This window comes from Homo sapiens, chromosome 6 (genome assembly GCF_000001405.40).
Source record: "Homo sapiens chromosome 6, GRCh38.p14 Primary Assembly".
In the NCBI taxonomy this organism is placed as follows: domain Eukaryota; kingdom Metazoa; phylum Chordata; class Mammalia; order Primates; family Hominidae; genus Homo; species Homo sapiens.
Genome location: NC_000006.12, coordinates 105,817,065 through 105,834,636, shown reverse-complemented (window position 1 = coordinate 105,834,636; position 17,572 = coordinate 105,817,065). Strand labels below are relative to the sequence as shown.

Sequence of the window (17,572 nt, the reverse complement as noted above, 5' to 3'; positions counted from 1 at the left end):
GGTCTAAAATAGAAGGCTCTCAGAAGTTCCTGTGACTCTATGAGTAGTAGGTTAGAAAGAAAACATGAGAATGAAAAAAAAAGTGACCTTCCTAAGGCTTTGGCACTGCATACCATTTGTTCTCAAGACACAGCGTTAGTGCAGGAGTTATGCATGCAGGAAAAATATGCATTTTTGAGACTGATATTTGGCAGGTCTCAATTTGCTTATAGACATAACTGGGAAGACAACAATTTGGAAGTCACCATTTTGATTAATTGCTTTTGTAGAATTACAAGAGATCTGGTGATTGCTCGCATTTAGTAAGTGAGATAGAATGCAGGTGAAACTCTTCCTTTAGAAAAGAAAACAATAGTCATAACATTTTACATCAACTAAAGAGAGTAAAGTATGCAGATACATAAAAACTTGCACATGTACATAAGAAAATCCGTTCTCAGGACTTCCTGAAGTGAGCCACTTCCCCTCGTCAAGAGCTCCCCACCCTCAAATGAGACCTGCTTATTCCAGTGAGGAAGCCCTTGGACTCTTCAGTTTTACACGAACACAATTTTCCTAAGAAGTCTGTGTAGAATCAAACCCAGCCACAAAAGGGAAAAGAACATTAAAATTGAAAGGAGTTGGGAGAGGGAATGGAGGAAGAAGGAACTTAAAACAAAAATCTATTTTAAAAGAATGAATAAACTTGATCAGATCTCCTTTTGTGACAAAATAAGGACTCACAGGAACCAAACTGTATAAAGCACGAAGAGTTAGTAGTGAATAGTTATGTCAGCCTCAGGTGGGATTCAAACCTTGGCACCAGCTCACTCCCTGTGTGACCTTAAACAGCAGTCATCCAGTCGACCCCCAGTTTATCTGTAAATTCTAGGTTAGTGATGATTAAATTAGATGTCTAGAAAATGCTCAGGACATCAATGTATCCAATAGATTTTAAAGTATTGATCGACGTGTACATTAAAGGCATCATATTCAAGCACTTTGAGGGCTCCAGTGGTTACATTTGTAAGTTTTTGTGAATTGGATCAATTTTGTGAATTAGATCACATTTTGAGAGATTCCTGCATCAACTGGCTATGAAAAGGATTCTTCCTATATAAATTGACATATAACATTTGTATTTACCTCCTATTATGTAGGTTTGTAAATCAGGATTTTAAAAATCTTACTAGAATACATATTTAATTGTAGTATTAAAAACATTTTTCGGCCAGGCACAGTGGCTCACGCCTGTAATCCCAATACTTTGGGAGGCTGAGTTGGGTGGATCACCTGAGGTCAGGAGTTCAAGACCAGCCTGGCCAATATGGTAAAACCCCATCTCTACTAAAAATACAAAAATTAGCTGGCTGTGGTGGTGCATGCCTGTCATCCCAGCTACTTGGGAGGCTGAGGCAGGAGAATCACTTGAACCTGGGAGGTGGAGGTTGCAGTGAGCCGAGATTGCATCATCACACTCCAGCCCAGGCAACAGAGCGAGACTCTGTCTCGGGAAACAAACAAACAAACAAACAAACAAACAAACATTTTTCATTTTATATTTATTCTCAGCACGATAAAATACAATTATGTTATCCAACTAATTTGTTTTATAATTGTTGGCTAGTAAGGCCCAGAGAGGTTAAATGGCTAGGACTAGGTAGTGGTAGACCCCCAAATCAACTTTATTAAGGGTTAATTTTTTTCTATTAAAATATCTTAAAAACAATCTCCACTATGTAAGATTTTCTGTAGGCTCTTTGTAAATGTTTACAGCATATATCTAAGAGCAGACTTTTTGCTCTATGAGAACTTCACCATTGGATTTATATAATTTTCCAAGAAAACTCCCTTTCAAAAATGTTCTACAGCAAGTAATCTAAAAGTGATTTTTTTCTTCTTCAAAGAAAATTCCCTTTAGAAAAGAAGGAAGTGCACCAGGACAAAGGCGGCCAACTGAGATCAGTGACTCAATCTGTTCCATAAATTATAGCTCTGAAGTCAGTTTGAGTGAGTGCTCACATTTCCAAAAACATAGACTGTCGTGGCACCTAAGGGTGTAGAAATTGCTACAGAGGCAATTAGCTTTATAAAACAGAAAGAATCACTAAGTGCATGAACCCTAAGGTACATGCAGGCCCAGAAATACATATTTCAACAGGGAATTGCCAAAGGGCAATGGTGCATTGAGAAATCCTCCCCTACTCAGCGGTGAAAGTTAAGTCTGTGGTATGTACAGATGAGGGAAGCTTGTCTGTGTGTGACCTAGGTTGAAGGGAGAAGGTAGAGACTGCGTGGAATGGCCAGCGTGCCATGTTCTCCTGAGCCAGAAGAGCCTAATGGGCCCAAATTGTCTGTTTCTATCGGGGGTGTTCCTTGGGCCTTTTTTCAAGACCACAGACCATAATTCCTGGGAAACTCTCACTTAAGTGGGTGCTCTTGACAATGAGGAAAACTAGGTGAGAGGCCGAGAGCTCATCTGGACAAGTCTGTGGTTGGTACATAGAGAGCATAGTTACACTGGGAAGAGGTGTTCCCTTGAGACATCTAGTCACACATTTTAAAAAAATCACTCTCTTCCTTAAACTTTCCTTTTGGAAACTTGGCCACAACAAAATGTGGATGTTAAAACCCTCTATGAGAAGTCCTTGGCCAGTTCTGTGGATGTATTTTCACAGAAGGTTTGTCAGTCTCACTCTCTCTCCCACTGTGCTGTTTCTTGTGTCTCCCAGCTCATCTCGTCCTCCATCCACACCATGGCTGTCTGATTCTTCCCTACTGATGCAATTTTCCTGGTGCTCGGAGTCTGTAGGCTCAGTCACTGCCTTAGGTGCAGAACTTGTCTAGTTCAGTTACCTTTTCTGCAGCTGAGAAAAAACACAGTAATTTCTGCTTCATTCTCCAATCCACAGAAGCTAAAATCTATGGAGCAGAGCTGTTTGCCTCATTAGCAAAAGCAACTGAGAACCCCCTAGGAAAAGTACGTTTGAGTCTCCTCCTACTCATAATATGGTTTCAGGGTATGATTTCTTTTTCTGTTATGTTTTCCATAGTAGTTTCATTTAGAAATGCCTATTAGAGTGAAGTTCTGCCATGTCTCACTAACAAGCATGCAGGCCCCTTGGGAGTTGAAGCCCGCCTTTTACTCGTCATGTATCACATGGATCCTGCATAATGAATGGAGCCTCCTCAGATATACTTTGTGGCTGATGAGTTAGAGAATTCTGAGACTGTAATAAATTATTCCCTCTTGAGTCTAATGTCCTTCCCTATTTCACCATTTCCTATGGTAGTTCTTTTAAATATCTGAGAAAAGGTAGTGGATTTATTACCTTTAAAACATAATCTAATAATGAACTCCTCCAGTTGGTTGGCCCTTCCCCTCCTCCAGCTGCCCCTTCCCCTCCTCCAGCTGTCCCTTCTCCTCCTCCAGCTGCCCCCTTCCCCTCCTCCAGCTGCCCCTTCCCCTCCTCCAGCTGCCCCCTCCCCTCCTCCAGCTGCCCCCCTTCCCCTCCTTCCACTGTCCCCCTTCTCCTCCTCCAGCTGCCCCCCTTCCCCTCCTCCAGCCTCCCCTTCCCCTCCTCCAGCTTCCCCCTTCCCCTCATCCACCTGCCCCTTCTCCTCCTCCGGCTGCCCCTTCCCCTCCTCCAGCTGCCCCTTCTCCTCCTCCCGCTGCCCCTTCCCCTCCTCCAGCTGCCCTTCCCCTCCTCCAGCTGCCCCTTCCCCTCCTCCAGCTGCCCCTTCCCCTCCTCCAGCTGCCCCTTCCCCTCCTCCAGCTGCCTCCCTTTCCCCTCCTCCTGCGGCCCCTTCCCCTCCTCCAGCTGCCCTTCCCTCCTCCAGCTGCCCCTTCTGAGAAACTCGCTGGGGATGATTCGAGTGGTTTCTATCATAAACATTTAAACATTTCAGGATGCTACTTTGGAAATGACAGTCTTGTTTTGCAAGGCACTTAAGTCTCTATTGAGATCCATTGAAACTTGTCATTGTGACTGCCATTTTACATTCTAGACTAACTAGAAGGCTAGGTTAGACTCACCTCTTTAGCTAGAATGCAGCTTTTCTACATTCTAGACTAACTTCCCTACCCCCCACCTCTAATAAATCTGAAAAGATTTAAAAACAGTTTACAATCAGTTATGTTATTAACAGTAGATGTGGTAACTCTTTGAGAAGGAAATTTAGTTTAAAAACATTTGCAGTTAGGTGGAGTAGATTTCTTTCCCATGGCAAAAGAAATTGTTACTGGAGCAGCTGAATCATTTCTAATAATCTAAAAGAAACATGTAATGGGCTGAGTTTTTCTGAGAGTGCTTCAATGTTTGTGCTTTTCTGGTTACTTATTTCTATCAGACTTTTACCTTCAGGTTAAATCTAAGTGTAAGGAGCACCAAGGCTCAGTCAGCATGTTTCTTAGCCCCAAATCAAGGCATGTGTTCTCTGAACAAGAATTTTTGTCTCTTCTAGATGCAAGAGGAAATTTGGAGATGTTGCTTGAAAGTTTAAAGTATTGGTGTTACCGAACCATTAGAATATTACATATGGACAACGCCCATCCATTAGAATATTACGTATGGACAACATGGTGGAACATTTCGAATAAGGTTTGTCCCACAAAATCCAATATAAATGTTTGCTTTTGTCCTTTTTAATGATATTGCATTTGAATTATACTGAGTACATTATGACATATGAAGCTCTCAGACTGTAGGATGGGAACAGCCAGACTTTATGCAGTGCAGGTGCTGGCAAACTTTTTCTGTAAAGCATCAGAGAGAACTATTCTGGTTTTGCAGGTCATGTGGTTTATGTCAGAACACTTGACCGTTGTAGCACAAAAACAGCTATAGACAAGAAGTAAATGAATAAGTGTGGCTCTCTTCCAAGAAAACTATTTAAGGCCAATGATTTGAATTTTAAATAATTTATATATTATTTTATATAACATAATTTTATTTAATTTATATATTATGAAAATCTTTATCTGATTTTTTTCAATTACTTAAAAATGGGAAGCCGTTCTTTAGCTTGTAGGCTCTATGAAAGCAGACTGTGTGCGGTGGCTCATGCCTGTAATCCCAGCACTTTGGGAGACCGAGGCGGGCGGATAACAAGGTCAGGAGATCGAAACCATCCTGGCTAACACGGTGAAACCCCGTCTCTACTAAAAATACAAAAAATTAGCCGGGCGTGGTGGCGGGCGCCTGTAGTCCCAGCTACTCGGGAGGGTGAGGCAGCAGCATGGCGTGAACCCGGGAGGCGGAGCTTGCAGTGAGCTGAGATCACGCCACTGCTCTCCAGCCTGGGCGACAGAGCGAGACTCCGTCTCAAAAAAAAAAAAAAAAAAAAAAAAAGAAAGCAGACTGTGGTCTGGATTTGTCCTGAGGGCCAAGCTTTGCTAACTCCCATTATAGTGAATTAGCAAGTTAAGGATCTGAACCCAGGAGAAGACAGAAGTAAGATGTCATACACATTTCTTGGACTGATTGACTTTCTTCAGCTAGTAAAACTTCTGAATATCATACTTGGTTGTGGTTTGAGTGCTTGTTCCTGGTGGGAGTAAATGAGTGTTTTGGGGAACAAAGGTAAGGGGATTTATAAACAAAAATTTATTCCTAATGATAGCACCTCACATTCGTGAAGAGCTAAGCTCCACTGGCCATAATATGCACGTTTAAGAGTCTCATAAAAATTTGGCCTGCTGTGAAAATGCTTAAAATCTACTCAGCAACTTTCAAGTATATATTTTTATTAACTATAGTCACCATATTATACAATGGATCTCTTGAACTTATTCCTCCTAACTGAAATTTTGTATCTTTTCACTGACATCTCCCCAATCCCCTCCCCTTTCTGCTAGCTCCTACTAATCACCATTCTCCTCTTTGTGTCTGAATCCAACATTTTTAGATTCCACACGTAAGTGAGATGCTGTGGTATTTGTCTTCCTGTGCCTGGCTTATTTCACTTGAACTAATATCCTCCAAGTTCATACGTGTTTTTGCAAATGACAAAATTTCCTTCTCTTTTGAGGCTGAATAGTATTCCATTTTGTAAATATACCATATTTTCATTATCCATTCATCTATTGATGGACTCATTGGTTGATTCCATACATAGTGCTACAGTGAACATGGGAGTGCAGCTATCTCTTTGACTTACAGATTTCATTTCCTTTGGGTATATATCCAGTAATAAAATTGCTGAATCATATAAGTAGTTCTATTTTTTTCTTTTTTATTATACTTTAAATTCTGGGATACGTGTGCAAAACGTGCAGGTTTGTTACATAGGTATACACATGACCTGGTGGTTTGCTGCACCCATCAACCCATCATCTACATTAGGTATTTCTCCTAATGCTATCCCTCCCCTAGCCTCCCCACCCCACAACAGGCCCTAGTGTGTGATGTTCCCTTCCCGGTGTCCAAGTCTTCTTATTGTTCGACTCCCACTTATAAGTGAGAATATGCGGTGTTTGGTTTTCTGTTCCTGTGTTAATTTGCTGAGAATGATGGTTTCCAGCTTCATCCATGTCCCTGCAAAGGACATGAACTCATCCTTTTTTATGGCTGCTTAGTATTCCACGGTATATATGTGCCACATTTTCTTTATCCAGTCTATCATTGATGGGCAGTTGGGTTGGTTCCAAGTCTTTGCTATTGTGAATAGTGCTGCAATAAACATACGTGTGCATGTTGTCTTTATAGTAGAATGATTTATAATCCTTTGGGTATATAACCAGTAATGGGATTGCTGGGTCAAATGGTATTTCTGGTTCTAGATCCTTGAGGAATTGCCACACTGTCTTCCACAATGGTTGAACTCATTTACACTTGCACCAACAGTGTAAAAGCGTTCTTATTTCTCCACATTCTCTCCATCATCTGTTGTTTCCTGACTTTTTAATGTTCACCATTCTAACTGGCATGAGATGGTATCTTATTGTGGTTTTGATTTGCATTTCTCTAATGACCAGCGATGATGAGATTTTTTCATGTGTTTTTTGGCTGCATAAATGTCATCTTTTGAGAAGTGTCTGTTCATATCCTTTGCCCACTTTTTGATGGGGTTGTTTTTTTCTTGTAAATTTGCTTATGTTCCTCATAGATTCTGGATATTAGCCCTTTGCAATTAGAAAATTGCAACAATTTTTGCCCATTCTTTAGGTTGCCTGTTCACTCTGATGATAGTTTGTTTTGCTGTGCAGAAGCTCTTTAGTTTAATTAGATCCCATTTGTCAATTTTGGCTTCTGTTGCCATTGCTTTTGGTGTTTTAGTCATGAAGTCTTTGCCCATGCCTGTGTCCTGAATGGTATTGCCTAGGTTTTCTTCTAGGGTTTTTACGGTTTTAGGTCTTACATTTAATTAAGTCTTTAATCCATCTTGAGTTAATTTTTGTATAAGGTGTAAGGAAGGGGTCTAGTTTCAGTTTTCTGCATATGGCTAGCCAGTTTTCCCAGCACCATTTATTAAATGTGGAATCCTTTCCCCATTGCTTGTTTTTGTCAGGTTTGTCAAAGATCAGATGGTTGTAGATGTGTGGTGTTATTTCTGAGGCCTCTGTTCTGTTCCATTGGTCTATATATCTGTTTTGGTGCCAGTACCATGCTGTTTTGGTTACTGTAGCCTTGTAATATAGTTTGAAGTCAGGTAGCATGATGCCTCCAGTTTTGTTCTTTTTGCTTAAGATTGTCTTAGCTATATGGGCTCTTTTTTGGTTTCATATGAAATTTAAAGTAGTTTTTCCTAAGTCTGTGAAGAAAGTCAATGGTAGCTTGATGGGGATAGCATTGAATCTATAAATTACTTTGGGCCGTATGGCCATTTTCTCGATATTGATTCTTCCTATCCATGAGCATGGAATGTTTTCCCATTTGTTTGTGTCCTCTCTTATTTCCTTGAGCAGTGGTTTGTAGTTCTCCTTGAAGAGGTCCTTCACATCCCTTGTAAGTTGTATACCTAGGTATTTTACTCTCTTTGTAGCAATTGTGAATGGAAGTTCACTCATGATTTGGTTTTCTGTTTGTCTATTATTGGTGTACAGGAATGCTTTTGATTTTTGCACATTGATTTTGTATCCTGAGACTTTGCTGAAGTTGCTTATCAGCTTAAGGAGATTTTGGGCTGAGACAATTGGGTTTTCTAAATATACAATCATGTTACCTGCAAAGAGAGACAATTTGACTTCCTCTCTTCCTGTTTGAATACCCTTTATTTCTTTCTCTTGCCTGATTGCCATGGCCAGAACTTCCAATACTATGTTGAATAGGAATGGTGAGAGAGGGCATCCTCTTCTTGTGGCAGTTTTCAAAGGGAATGCTTCCAGCTTTTGCCCATTCAGTATGGTATTGGCTGTGGGTTTGGTAGTTCTATTTCTTAATGGAAATAAATAAGTATGTGAAGTTAAAAAGGAAAAAGACCTGTGCTATTAGCTTCTTTGTATTACTTTGGCACATGCACTTGTTATTTTATTTTTATTTTTTAAAGAAAAAGTATTTTATTCATTTAAAAAATTATTTTTAATTGTTCTGGGTAGTTCTATTTCTTAATGGAAATAAATAAGTATGTGAAGTTAAAAAAAGAAAAAGACCTGTACTGTTAGCTTCTTTGTATTACTTTGGCACATGCACTTGTCATTTTGATTTTATTTTTAAAGAAAAAGTATTTTACTTAAAAAATTTTTATTTTTAATTGTTCTGGATACATAGTAGGTATATATATTTATGGGGTATATGAGATATTTTGAAACAGGCATGTTATGCGTAATAATCCCATCATGGAGAATGAGGTATCCATCACCTCAAACATTTATCCTTTTGTACTTGCTGTTTTAAAAGTAGATGTTAACTTTTCCTTTTCAGTAGGATTCTTATTTTATCATTATATTATTATAGTTTTTAGAGTTTAATTTCAGAAACATATTTTCATAATGATATTCAAACATGCAATCATAAGGCTGCGATTTTAAGTATCCATCATTTAAGTATCCATCAATTCTAATACAATATTTTTCTCCTTTTCACCAATGGTATGCTCCTTAATTTTAAAGGCTGGAATAAAATGGACCCTGAATGACATGTGCTAGAGTGTTTACAGCAGCACTATTTGTAAGAGCCAAAACTAGAAATGACACAAATGCCCACAAACAATAAATTTGAGCAATTAAAATGTGATATATGCATATATTAGAATGCAACATAGCAATAAAGATGAATGACCTATAACCACACATGAAAATGTGAGTGCATCAGACAAGTCAGATAAAACAGTACACACAGTATAATCCAATTGTTTTTGAAGGACAAAATCAGATAATGCTGGTAGAGGTCAAAATAATGGGTGCCTTTGAATTATTTACTGGAAAGGGGCAAGAGGGATGCTGGTGACATTGTTTCTTAAACTGGGTGCTAGTTACCAGAGGGTGTTAATTTTCAACAATTTTTCCCGTTGTACATTATGAAATGTGTACTTTTCTCTGTGTATATTTTAGCTCAATTAAAAAAAAAGGGAGAAAAAAGTCCAACTTGCTGAAGCTTTAACTTTTAGAAGTTCCCTAAGATGAGAAGATAGAGTGGATAAAGGGAAGTTTTTGTTCTTCTTCAAATGGTTATCTTTTAAAATATTTTGTCTGTGACTATTTCTATAAAAGCAAAGTCATGACTCAAAAAGAAAATACTGCTAGTAAGAAGCCATCAGGGGCCAAGTCTTGTCTTAGAGAATGACTCTTCAGGAATCCCCACTATGTTTGTATCTTCACTTCACCACTTGCTTAGGGGACAACCACCTCTCACTCTCCACTCAGTAATTTAAAGAAGCTGATAGCATTGGTCTCCATAGATGATTTTTTTTCTTTCTGTATCAAATGCTTTATTTGTTCTTTTTATTATTCTTGTGTTCTTAGTCTCGGAGGCATAGCTTGATTTCTCTTCCCCTTTTCTTCCTTTCTCAATCTAAGATGTCAAACACTAAAGTACCCACCTCTGATTTCCTTCTCTAAATCTGGCTACCTTTTCTGGTCTAGATGTTGAGGAAGGAAAAAGGTAGGCAGATCTCCCTAGAACTGGAAGAGCTGGAGTGTGGATTAGGAGAACTGTCTTCTGATGTATATTGTCCCTCAATGGGATCATCACAGCCATCCCATGCAATAGTGATTTTCAGACAAGGAACCTCTTTGATTTTTAAAAAAGATATTGGTATATATATACATATTGGTATATGTATATCTGTGATGTCTGATTCATCAGTGGCACAACTTTCTCAGGAGAACCTGGGGTAGCTGGCAATCAGATTCTGCTTGGGGTTACTTAAATCTATAACTTCTTAGATGTTATAGTTGCTCTGCATGTGCCAAGGATCTCAGCCAAATCAAGAAAACCATTATATATATATATATATATATATATATATGGCATATATACACACACACATATATGTATATACATATATACACACACATATATGTATATACATATATACACACACATATATGTATATACATATATACACACACATATATGTATATACATATATACACACACATATATGTATATACATATATACACACACATATATGTATATACATATATACACACACATATATGTATATACATATATACACACACATATATGTATATACATATATACACACACATATATGTATATACATATATACACACACATATATGTATATACATATATACACACACATATATGTATATACATATATACACACACATATATGTATATACATATATACACACACATATATGTATATACATATATATACACACATATATGTATATACATATATATACACACATATATGTATATACATATATATACACACATATATGTATATACATATATATACACACATATATGTATATATATATTTAAATTACATCATACTTATGCCCAATTTCCTCATTTACACATATTTTGAATATTTTAAATATATTACTAAGTAGCAACTGATAAAAGTTGTAAAAGAATTTTTTTTCATGTTCTGTAGTTTTTCAATGTGTCAGGAGACTGTGATTCTTATGTAGTCTGAAGCATTTCTGTTGGTCTCCATATTCTGCCAAAGGAGAGATGTTAATGGATGGGAGGTCAGAATTCAGAGGTGATTGAAGACTTCCTGCCTCAGTGAGGGAGATGCTTCTGATTTTTCAAATCCTTAGGGTAGTGATGTTGATGCTGTGGGGCAAAAATGTTATTTAGTATTAATAACCAACCTTAGGCTGGGCTCGGTGGCTCACACCTGTAATCCCAGCACTTTGGGAGGCCGAGACAGGTGGATCACCTGAGGTCAGGAGTTCTAGGCCAGCCTGGTCAACATGGTGAAACCCCGTCTCTACTAAAAATATAAAAATTAGCTGGGCGTGGGGGCGGGCATCTGTAGTCCCAGCTACTCAGGAGGCTGAGGCAGGAGAATCGCTTGAACCTGGGCGGCAGTGATTGCAGTGAGCCGAGATGGTGCCACTGCACTCCAGCCTGGGTGACAGAGCAAGACTCCAACTCAAAAAAAAAAAAAAAAAAGAAAAAAGAAAAAAGAATAAACAATTCCTCTTAATTCTTAATGGCATGTTTCATAAGGCAGGAAACATCTCTTTAGAATCAGGTCTCTGTTAGTCCACGAATCCAAATAGATGACAAACTCTAGTTCACATGAAAATGCCCAGTGACCTCTGCACATGGTAATGAACAGACAAATCAGTGCCCATATCCTGTATCTGAAACCAGAGACTGGTGCTGGCCCCTTGATACATGGACCATGTGGCACACAGGCTCTCCTAGACTCCCACCCTGGCTTCTCCACTCTTTACAAGGTGAGCGTTTGCGTCTTCTACATGGGTGGTGATGGGTACATGCTTATGTTCACCTTCTCCCTCCCCTGGGCTCTGGGGATTCCCTGGATTCAGGTGCTTCAAGACCCCAGCTGGGAGGCTGGAAGCCTTCATTTCCCATGTCTAAAGGAGAAGGACCAGAAACTTAGTTCACCATTTTTTCAATATTTTTTCTGCAAGAGAGATGTAAGCACAGTAAAAGCAAAGAAAGGTAGAACATAAGAGAGACTTTGAAATATAGGAAAGGAGAATACAAATGTAAAGTTAGAAACATTTCCATTAGAGAAAAGAGTATCTCTTATTACTGTTACTAGTCAATACTGAACTAGAAAGTCCAGCCAATGCAATAAGCCAAGAAATATAAATAAGAGGCATACAAATTGAAAAGAAAGAGTGGAATTATCCTTTTTTGTGGATTATATGATGGTATGCCTAAAAATTGAAAGATAATCATTTATCACAACTAATGAGAGTTCAGCAAGTGACCAGACCCAAGGAAAACATTTAGAAAAGGTGACCAAAAAGCCAAATTAATGATGTGACAGTCTCATTTGAAAATAATTGTGTAATAATTTGTTAAAACAGTTGGAGAAAATTTGTTAAAACAGCTGGAGAAAATTTTTCTAGAAATAAAATATGTTTCCATTTTGACTGTCCTCTTTAGGTTCAAAAGTGGCTAAATGTTAGACTGATGTAATCTTCTTTAAACAGTTAAAATTATCTATTTGTGTCTTCTTTCTACATGTTTTACTTTTTCAAAATATCCTCTGCATAACAGCTTTTGCCAAGCTTCCCACACATACGCAGGCTTTGTTCCCACAGTCTGGGTCCTTTCCCTTTTTCTGCCTTCCTCCTTGGTTAGTCTTTCATGTGTCCTCACTTTGTCTACTGATGGAACTTGCCACTTGGTCATATTTCTTCCTGGGCAATGTTTCTTTATTTCATATTGGATTTATTGAAAAGATCACTGGCTTTGGACTCAGATACATATAGTAAGTTATTTAGCCTCTTGGTATCTCAATTTCCTTATCTGTGAAATCAGAACAATAAAAACTACCTCATTGGATTTAAGTGATGACTAAATATGATAGATGTGTCTTAAGTGCCTAGTAGCCTAATGCAGAAGATATGTTACAGGTTCAGGCCTTTAGGGACAATCACACCCACTACCCACTATTCTGGCCAAAATAATCATGCAAAATTAAGTGAAAATGAAGCTAATGGTTTGGTACAACTGGTGACAGCCTCAAGTCAGGGAAACCCAGGTAAACATTTTGAAATCAAATAGTATTTATGTTCATGTTTATTTTATTTTTGGTGAAGTATAGCACATATACAGTGACGTATACAAATTCTAAGTGTACTGCTCAATTACTCTTTCTGTGTATGTACCACTCCCTCATATCACTTCTCAGGCAATAACTACCCCTGAATGCTCATATTTTAACTTTTATTTGCATTGATGGGAAGAATAACATATAAGCCTTGCCCTGGCAGATTGCCTTTGCCCTCAAGACCTCCCTGACTTGTGTTGTCTTGGCCAAGTCATTACACTTGTCTGTGTTAATCCCTTGGGTATAGAGTAGGTTTGACATGACGTAATGTTCAACAGACCAGGTGGGAAGTTTTAGAAGCTGTTATTAAAAGGAACTCTGTGAATCTAAAGCAGTAACTCAGCTATTGTGCCAATTCCTACTTTCACTGAGTCGTATTTGACATTGCTTGATGCTATTCTCCTATGGCATGGTTTCAGAGTCAAGACATTTGTATTTGTTGTCTTAGCCAGCACCAAGAAAGGAGCTTTCCATTATACTGTCCAAAAATCTGAGTCCCTAATGCGGCCTTTGGGAAGAAAACTTGGGTGATAGAGCCTTTTGCATGTCACTTACTATACAGAAACAAGTTTAGTCAAATATTTCTTTTTGTTTGATTGAACTTTAATGACTGCTTTAATCCTTAGAAAAGATTGGAATCTCCAAAATTGAGTGATAAGGTTTAACAGGGCAGAATCTTTTTTTTCCCCTGAAGAAATGCTGACAATTTTTCTAGTTTCAGCATATTCCTTGCCAAGGTTCCTGTTTACTGCCACATCTGAGACAAAATGGCAACACTTCCTGAAGTTCCATACTGGGAGTAGAGATCTTGAACATGTTTTCCTTCTGGCAACATTTTCTTCAATTGCTTTTTGTAACGCCTGCTCTTTTGATTTCTCTCAACCTCTCTAGTCTTTCTCTTCATTCTTCTTTGAGAGGACAATCTCCGTCATATATCTGACGATGTGTATTTCCCACAGAGTTTGTCTCAGACACTCTTCTCACTCTATACATTCTCCATGGGTAATTTTATCTGAACCTATAGCTTCAATTATTATCTATATGCCTATGATTATCAATTTTGTATGTCCAGCGCAGATCTCTCTCTACACTCCTGAACAACTCTGCTATTGCTTACCGAAAGTTTCCAGTTGTAAATATGAAATGAACCCCAAACATGCCCATTCAAAACAGGCCTCACAGATTTCCCACACCTACCTTAACCTCACCCTACCTGCTCCTCTGCTTTCTATATCTGTGAGCAGTTATCGAGTTTCCCACACCAAACACTAAGCAATCATCCTTGACCTTCTCATACTCCATGTCACCAAACCTTCTATGTTGCTATTGCTTAAGTATCTTCCAAAACCTATTTACTTCTCTCCACCTTCCCCTAACCTAACCTACCTTCATGTCTGGCCTGGAAAACTACAATGGTCACTTCATTTTAGCTTCCTTCCAGTTTCCCACACAGCAGCCAGAGTGATCTCACTGTTGGAACAATAAACAAAATCTTTCATGTGGGTGCATCTTACTTCCCCTACCACCTCTTATGCCATTCCATCCTCATTCTGAGCTTCAGCTCCACGGGTCTGCTTTCAGTTCTTTAAAATATTATTATCCTTCTGCTACAGGGCTTTTGCACATGCTTATTTCTCTAAGTGGACAATGCTTTCTCCTTTTTAAAAATCTTGTCTGCAGACAGATCGGCTGAAATATCAGTTCCCTAGGGGAGCATCCCCAGCTCTCCCATTTGGTCAAGTTTTTTTCATGACACATCCGTGTAGCAACTTGTTTCTTTCCTTCAAAGCTCTCGATTTGGATTTTCATAGTATTTGTCTGCATGTGATTTTTTTAAAGCTGAAAATGTATCTCCTTCATTTGATTGTATACTCCGTAGTACTGGTTCAGTATTCGCTGAGATAGATGTACAGGATTCATGTATACACAGAGTTTTGTACCTAGTAGGTCCTTGATAAACGTTTAGAAATACAATTAGTTTGCGGTGAGTTTTGCAGTGTAAAATGATCATAATTGAGGGAAGGAACAATGGTCACTGAGCAAGCTGGGATTTCTTTTTCCATTCAGTGCCCAAAGGTCACTCTTATATTTACTGCTCCATGGAAGGCAAGGAAGTGGTATCTCTTCCTGGAGCTCCAGCAAATAGAAACATGCCATGAATGTTGGCAGGAATGGAGACTTTAGGGAAGAGGGATTGTGGTAGAAAATGTCCTATCCTTCTAGCACCTGGTCCTTAGTAGTGATGCTCAATCCCTCCCATCAATACTTTCTAAGCTTTAGCAAGCCTAAGAATCAACGGGAGGACTTGTTAAAACTCAGATACCTGTGGCCCACCCCCAGAGTTTCTGATTCAGTAGTTTGGGGGTAGGGCCTGAGACTCTGCATTTCTAACAAGTTCCCAGGGGATGCTTCTGCTGCTGCTGCTATGGGACAACACTTGGGAAACTGCTACCCTGACTAATTCTAACATGAAACTCAGTCCCAAATTAGTTCCCCATGATGGAAGACCTCCTGTGCCAGCAACTGCTTATTGACTCTAATATAAAGTTTATATGGTCAAAGAGGTAGTCATTGACTGATTTTCATTATGTTACCAGTACTAATACCTCTGTGGGATATTCCAAATAAGTTAACATGTTATTGGTCGCTGAGTTTCTAAGTGTTTTGAGAAATACAGCATAGTAATTATAGTGTGTGAAAAAAAGGAAGAAACCCAGGTGATCTTCTGTTTGGTACAAACAGCAGATGAGTAATATGTACAGCACTTTTTGGCAGGGGCAGGCTACCCACTATGGAAGCTGCAGCAACCCAGCTGGGAGAATGAGGGATGGGGGAAGGCCTAGAGGTGAGCTCAGGTAAAAGCAGCCATTTGTGGGTGAAATAAAATTTAGTCTAGTAGTATCTTAGTTTGGAAGTCAAAAGATCTGAAAGAACATGAGGTACGAGGATGACAGTGTGATTGTGTGTACAAAGCATTGGCTAAAGAATGCTTTGAAGAAGAGCCCTGGCTCCAGTCTGCTTTGGTAATGTACTCAACAACTCTGGGCTTCAATTCCTTCAACCCATCAAAATGGGGTTAGTCTAGATCAAGGGTCAGTGAATTTTTTCTATACATGGCCAGACAGAAAATATTTTAGGATTTGTGGGCCATACCCTCTCTGATGCAGCAACTGAACTCTGCCATTGTAGTATCAAAATAGCCAAAGATACTATGTAAATGAATGGGCTTAGCTATGTCCCAATAAAACTTCATTTACAGAAACAGGTGGTGGACAGAACTTGGCCCAGCATCTTAAATCAGCAGTCCCCAACCTTTTTGGCACCAGGGACGGGTTTCCTGGAAGAAGAGTTTTTCCACAGGGGAGGTTGAGGGGGGTGATTTAGGGAATGAAACCGTTCCACCTCAGATCATCAGGCGTTAGTTAGATTCTCATAAGGAGTGTGCAATGTGGATCCCTCATATGCGTAGTTCACAATAGGGTTTGCGCTCCTATGAGAATCTAATGCCGCTGCTGATCTGATAGGAGGCAGAGCCCAGGCAGTACTGCTTCCTCACCCGCCGCCCACCCGTGTGGCCCAGTTTCTAAGAGGCCATGGACCAGTACTCCTATAAGTAACAACAACAACAAAATTTAGCATGTATGCTTAATGGATGTATACTAATTTATAAATATGCATCTGTAAAGATCTAATATATTATGTACAGTACAAAACACACCCCTGAAACAGAAGTTTAAAAGAAATATGTTAAAATAAAGAAACAAGTGATCCAATATTTTCCCTAAATTCTACTGGATCTTCTTATGTGGAGGCCACTCATCTTGATAGTTTCAAGGGCTGTTTGACGTTTTAATGTCCTATTGTTATATGTGTGGCAAACCACCCACACTGTACATCTGCCAGGTGATTTTTGGCTGAATCAACTAGAGCGTTAACTCCGGGTAATCTGTACTAACAGGGGGAAGAAGAGAGGCAGGCAACTAAAAATACAAGAGCCAGCTTAATGTGATTTTGGAGCAAGTCCCAGTGCTCAGCGGCTGGGAGCCCCTCTGGGCGTGGGTACTCGCCACGGCCGTGGCTGCAGTGGGCTGGGAAATAGAGAGGGTAGTTTGAGTGGCTGTGGATACGTGAGTATTTACATGAAGAAAATTGGTCATGAACTTTTAGTTGTGAAAGGAGCCTTCAAAATCTGTTAGTTCACCCGCTTCGTGTTTCAGATGAAATCTTTGTATCTAGAAAAACTTCTGTGATAGCTAGTGAGAGGCAAAGCTGGTCTCACAACTCAGGACTTGAAACATTCTCACCTAAGTCCTCAACAGGAAAAAATATTTTTCTTTGTATTTCTTTAGTGCTTTTCATTTTAGAACAAATCTGTTTTCAAAGCATTGTGAAATTTTGCTACAATAGCAAAAA

The 17,572-nt window shown here is 39.1% G+C and overlaps 1 long non-coding RNA gene across 2 annotated transcripts in view, besides 1 other annotated feature; it reads left to right on the top strand.

Annotated features, from left to right (window-relative positions):
* LOC105377923 (uncharacterized) overlaps positions 1-4,872 on the top strand; it is a 63,333-nt gene extending 58,461 nt beyond the window's left edge. For both annotated transcript variants that reach the window (XR_001744275.2, XR_001744274.2), the window contains exon 3: positions 4,444-4,872. This is a non-coding gene — a long non-coding RNA (uncharacterized LOC105377923). The remainder of the gene's footprint in view (positions 1-4,443) is intronic.
* Positions 9,556-9,756: a silencer, noted in NCBI's record as "peak5997 fragment used in MPRA reporter construct". NCBI's record gives its function as "represses an SCP1 promoter by STARR-seq MPRAs in K562 erythroleukemia cells {active_cell/tissue: K562}" and the evidence as "EXISTENCE:reporter gene assay evidence [ECO:0000049][PMID:32103011]".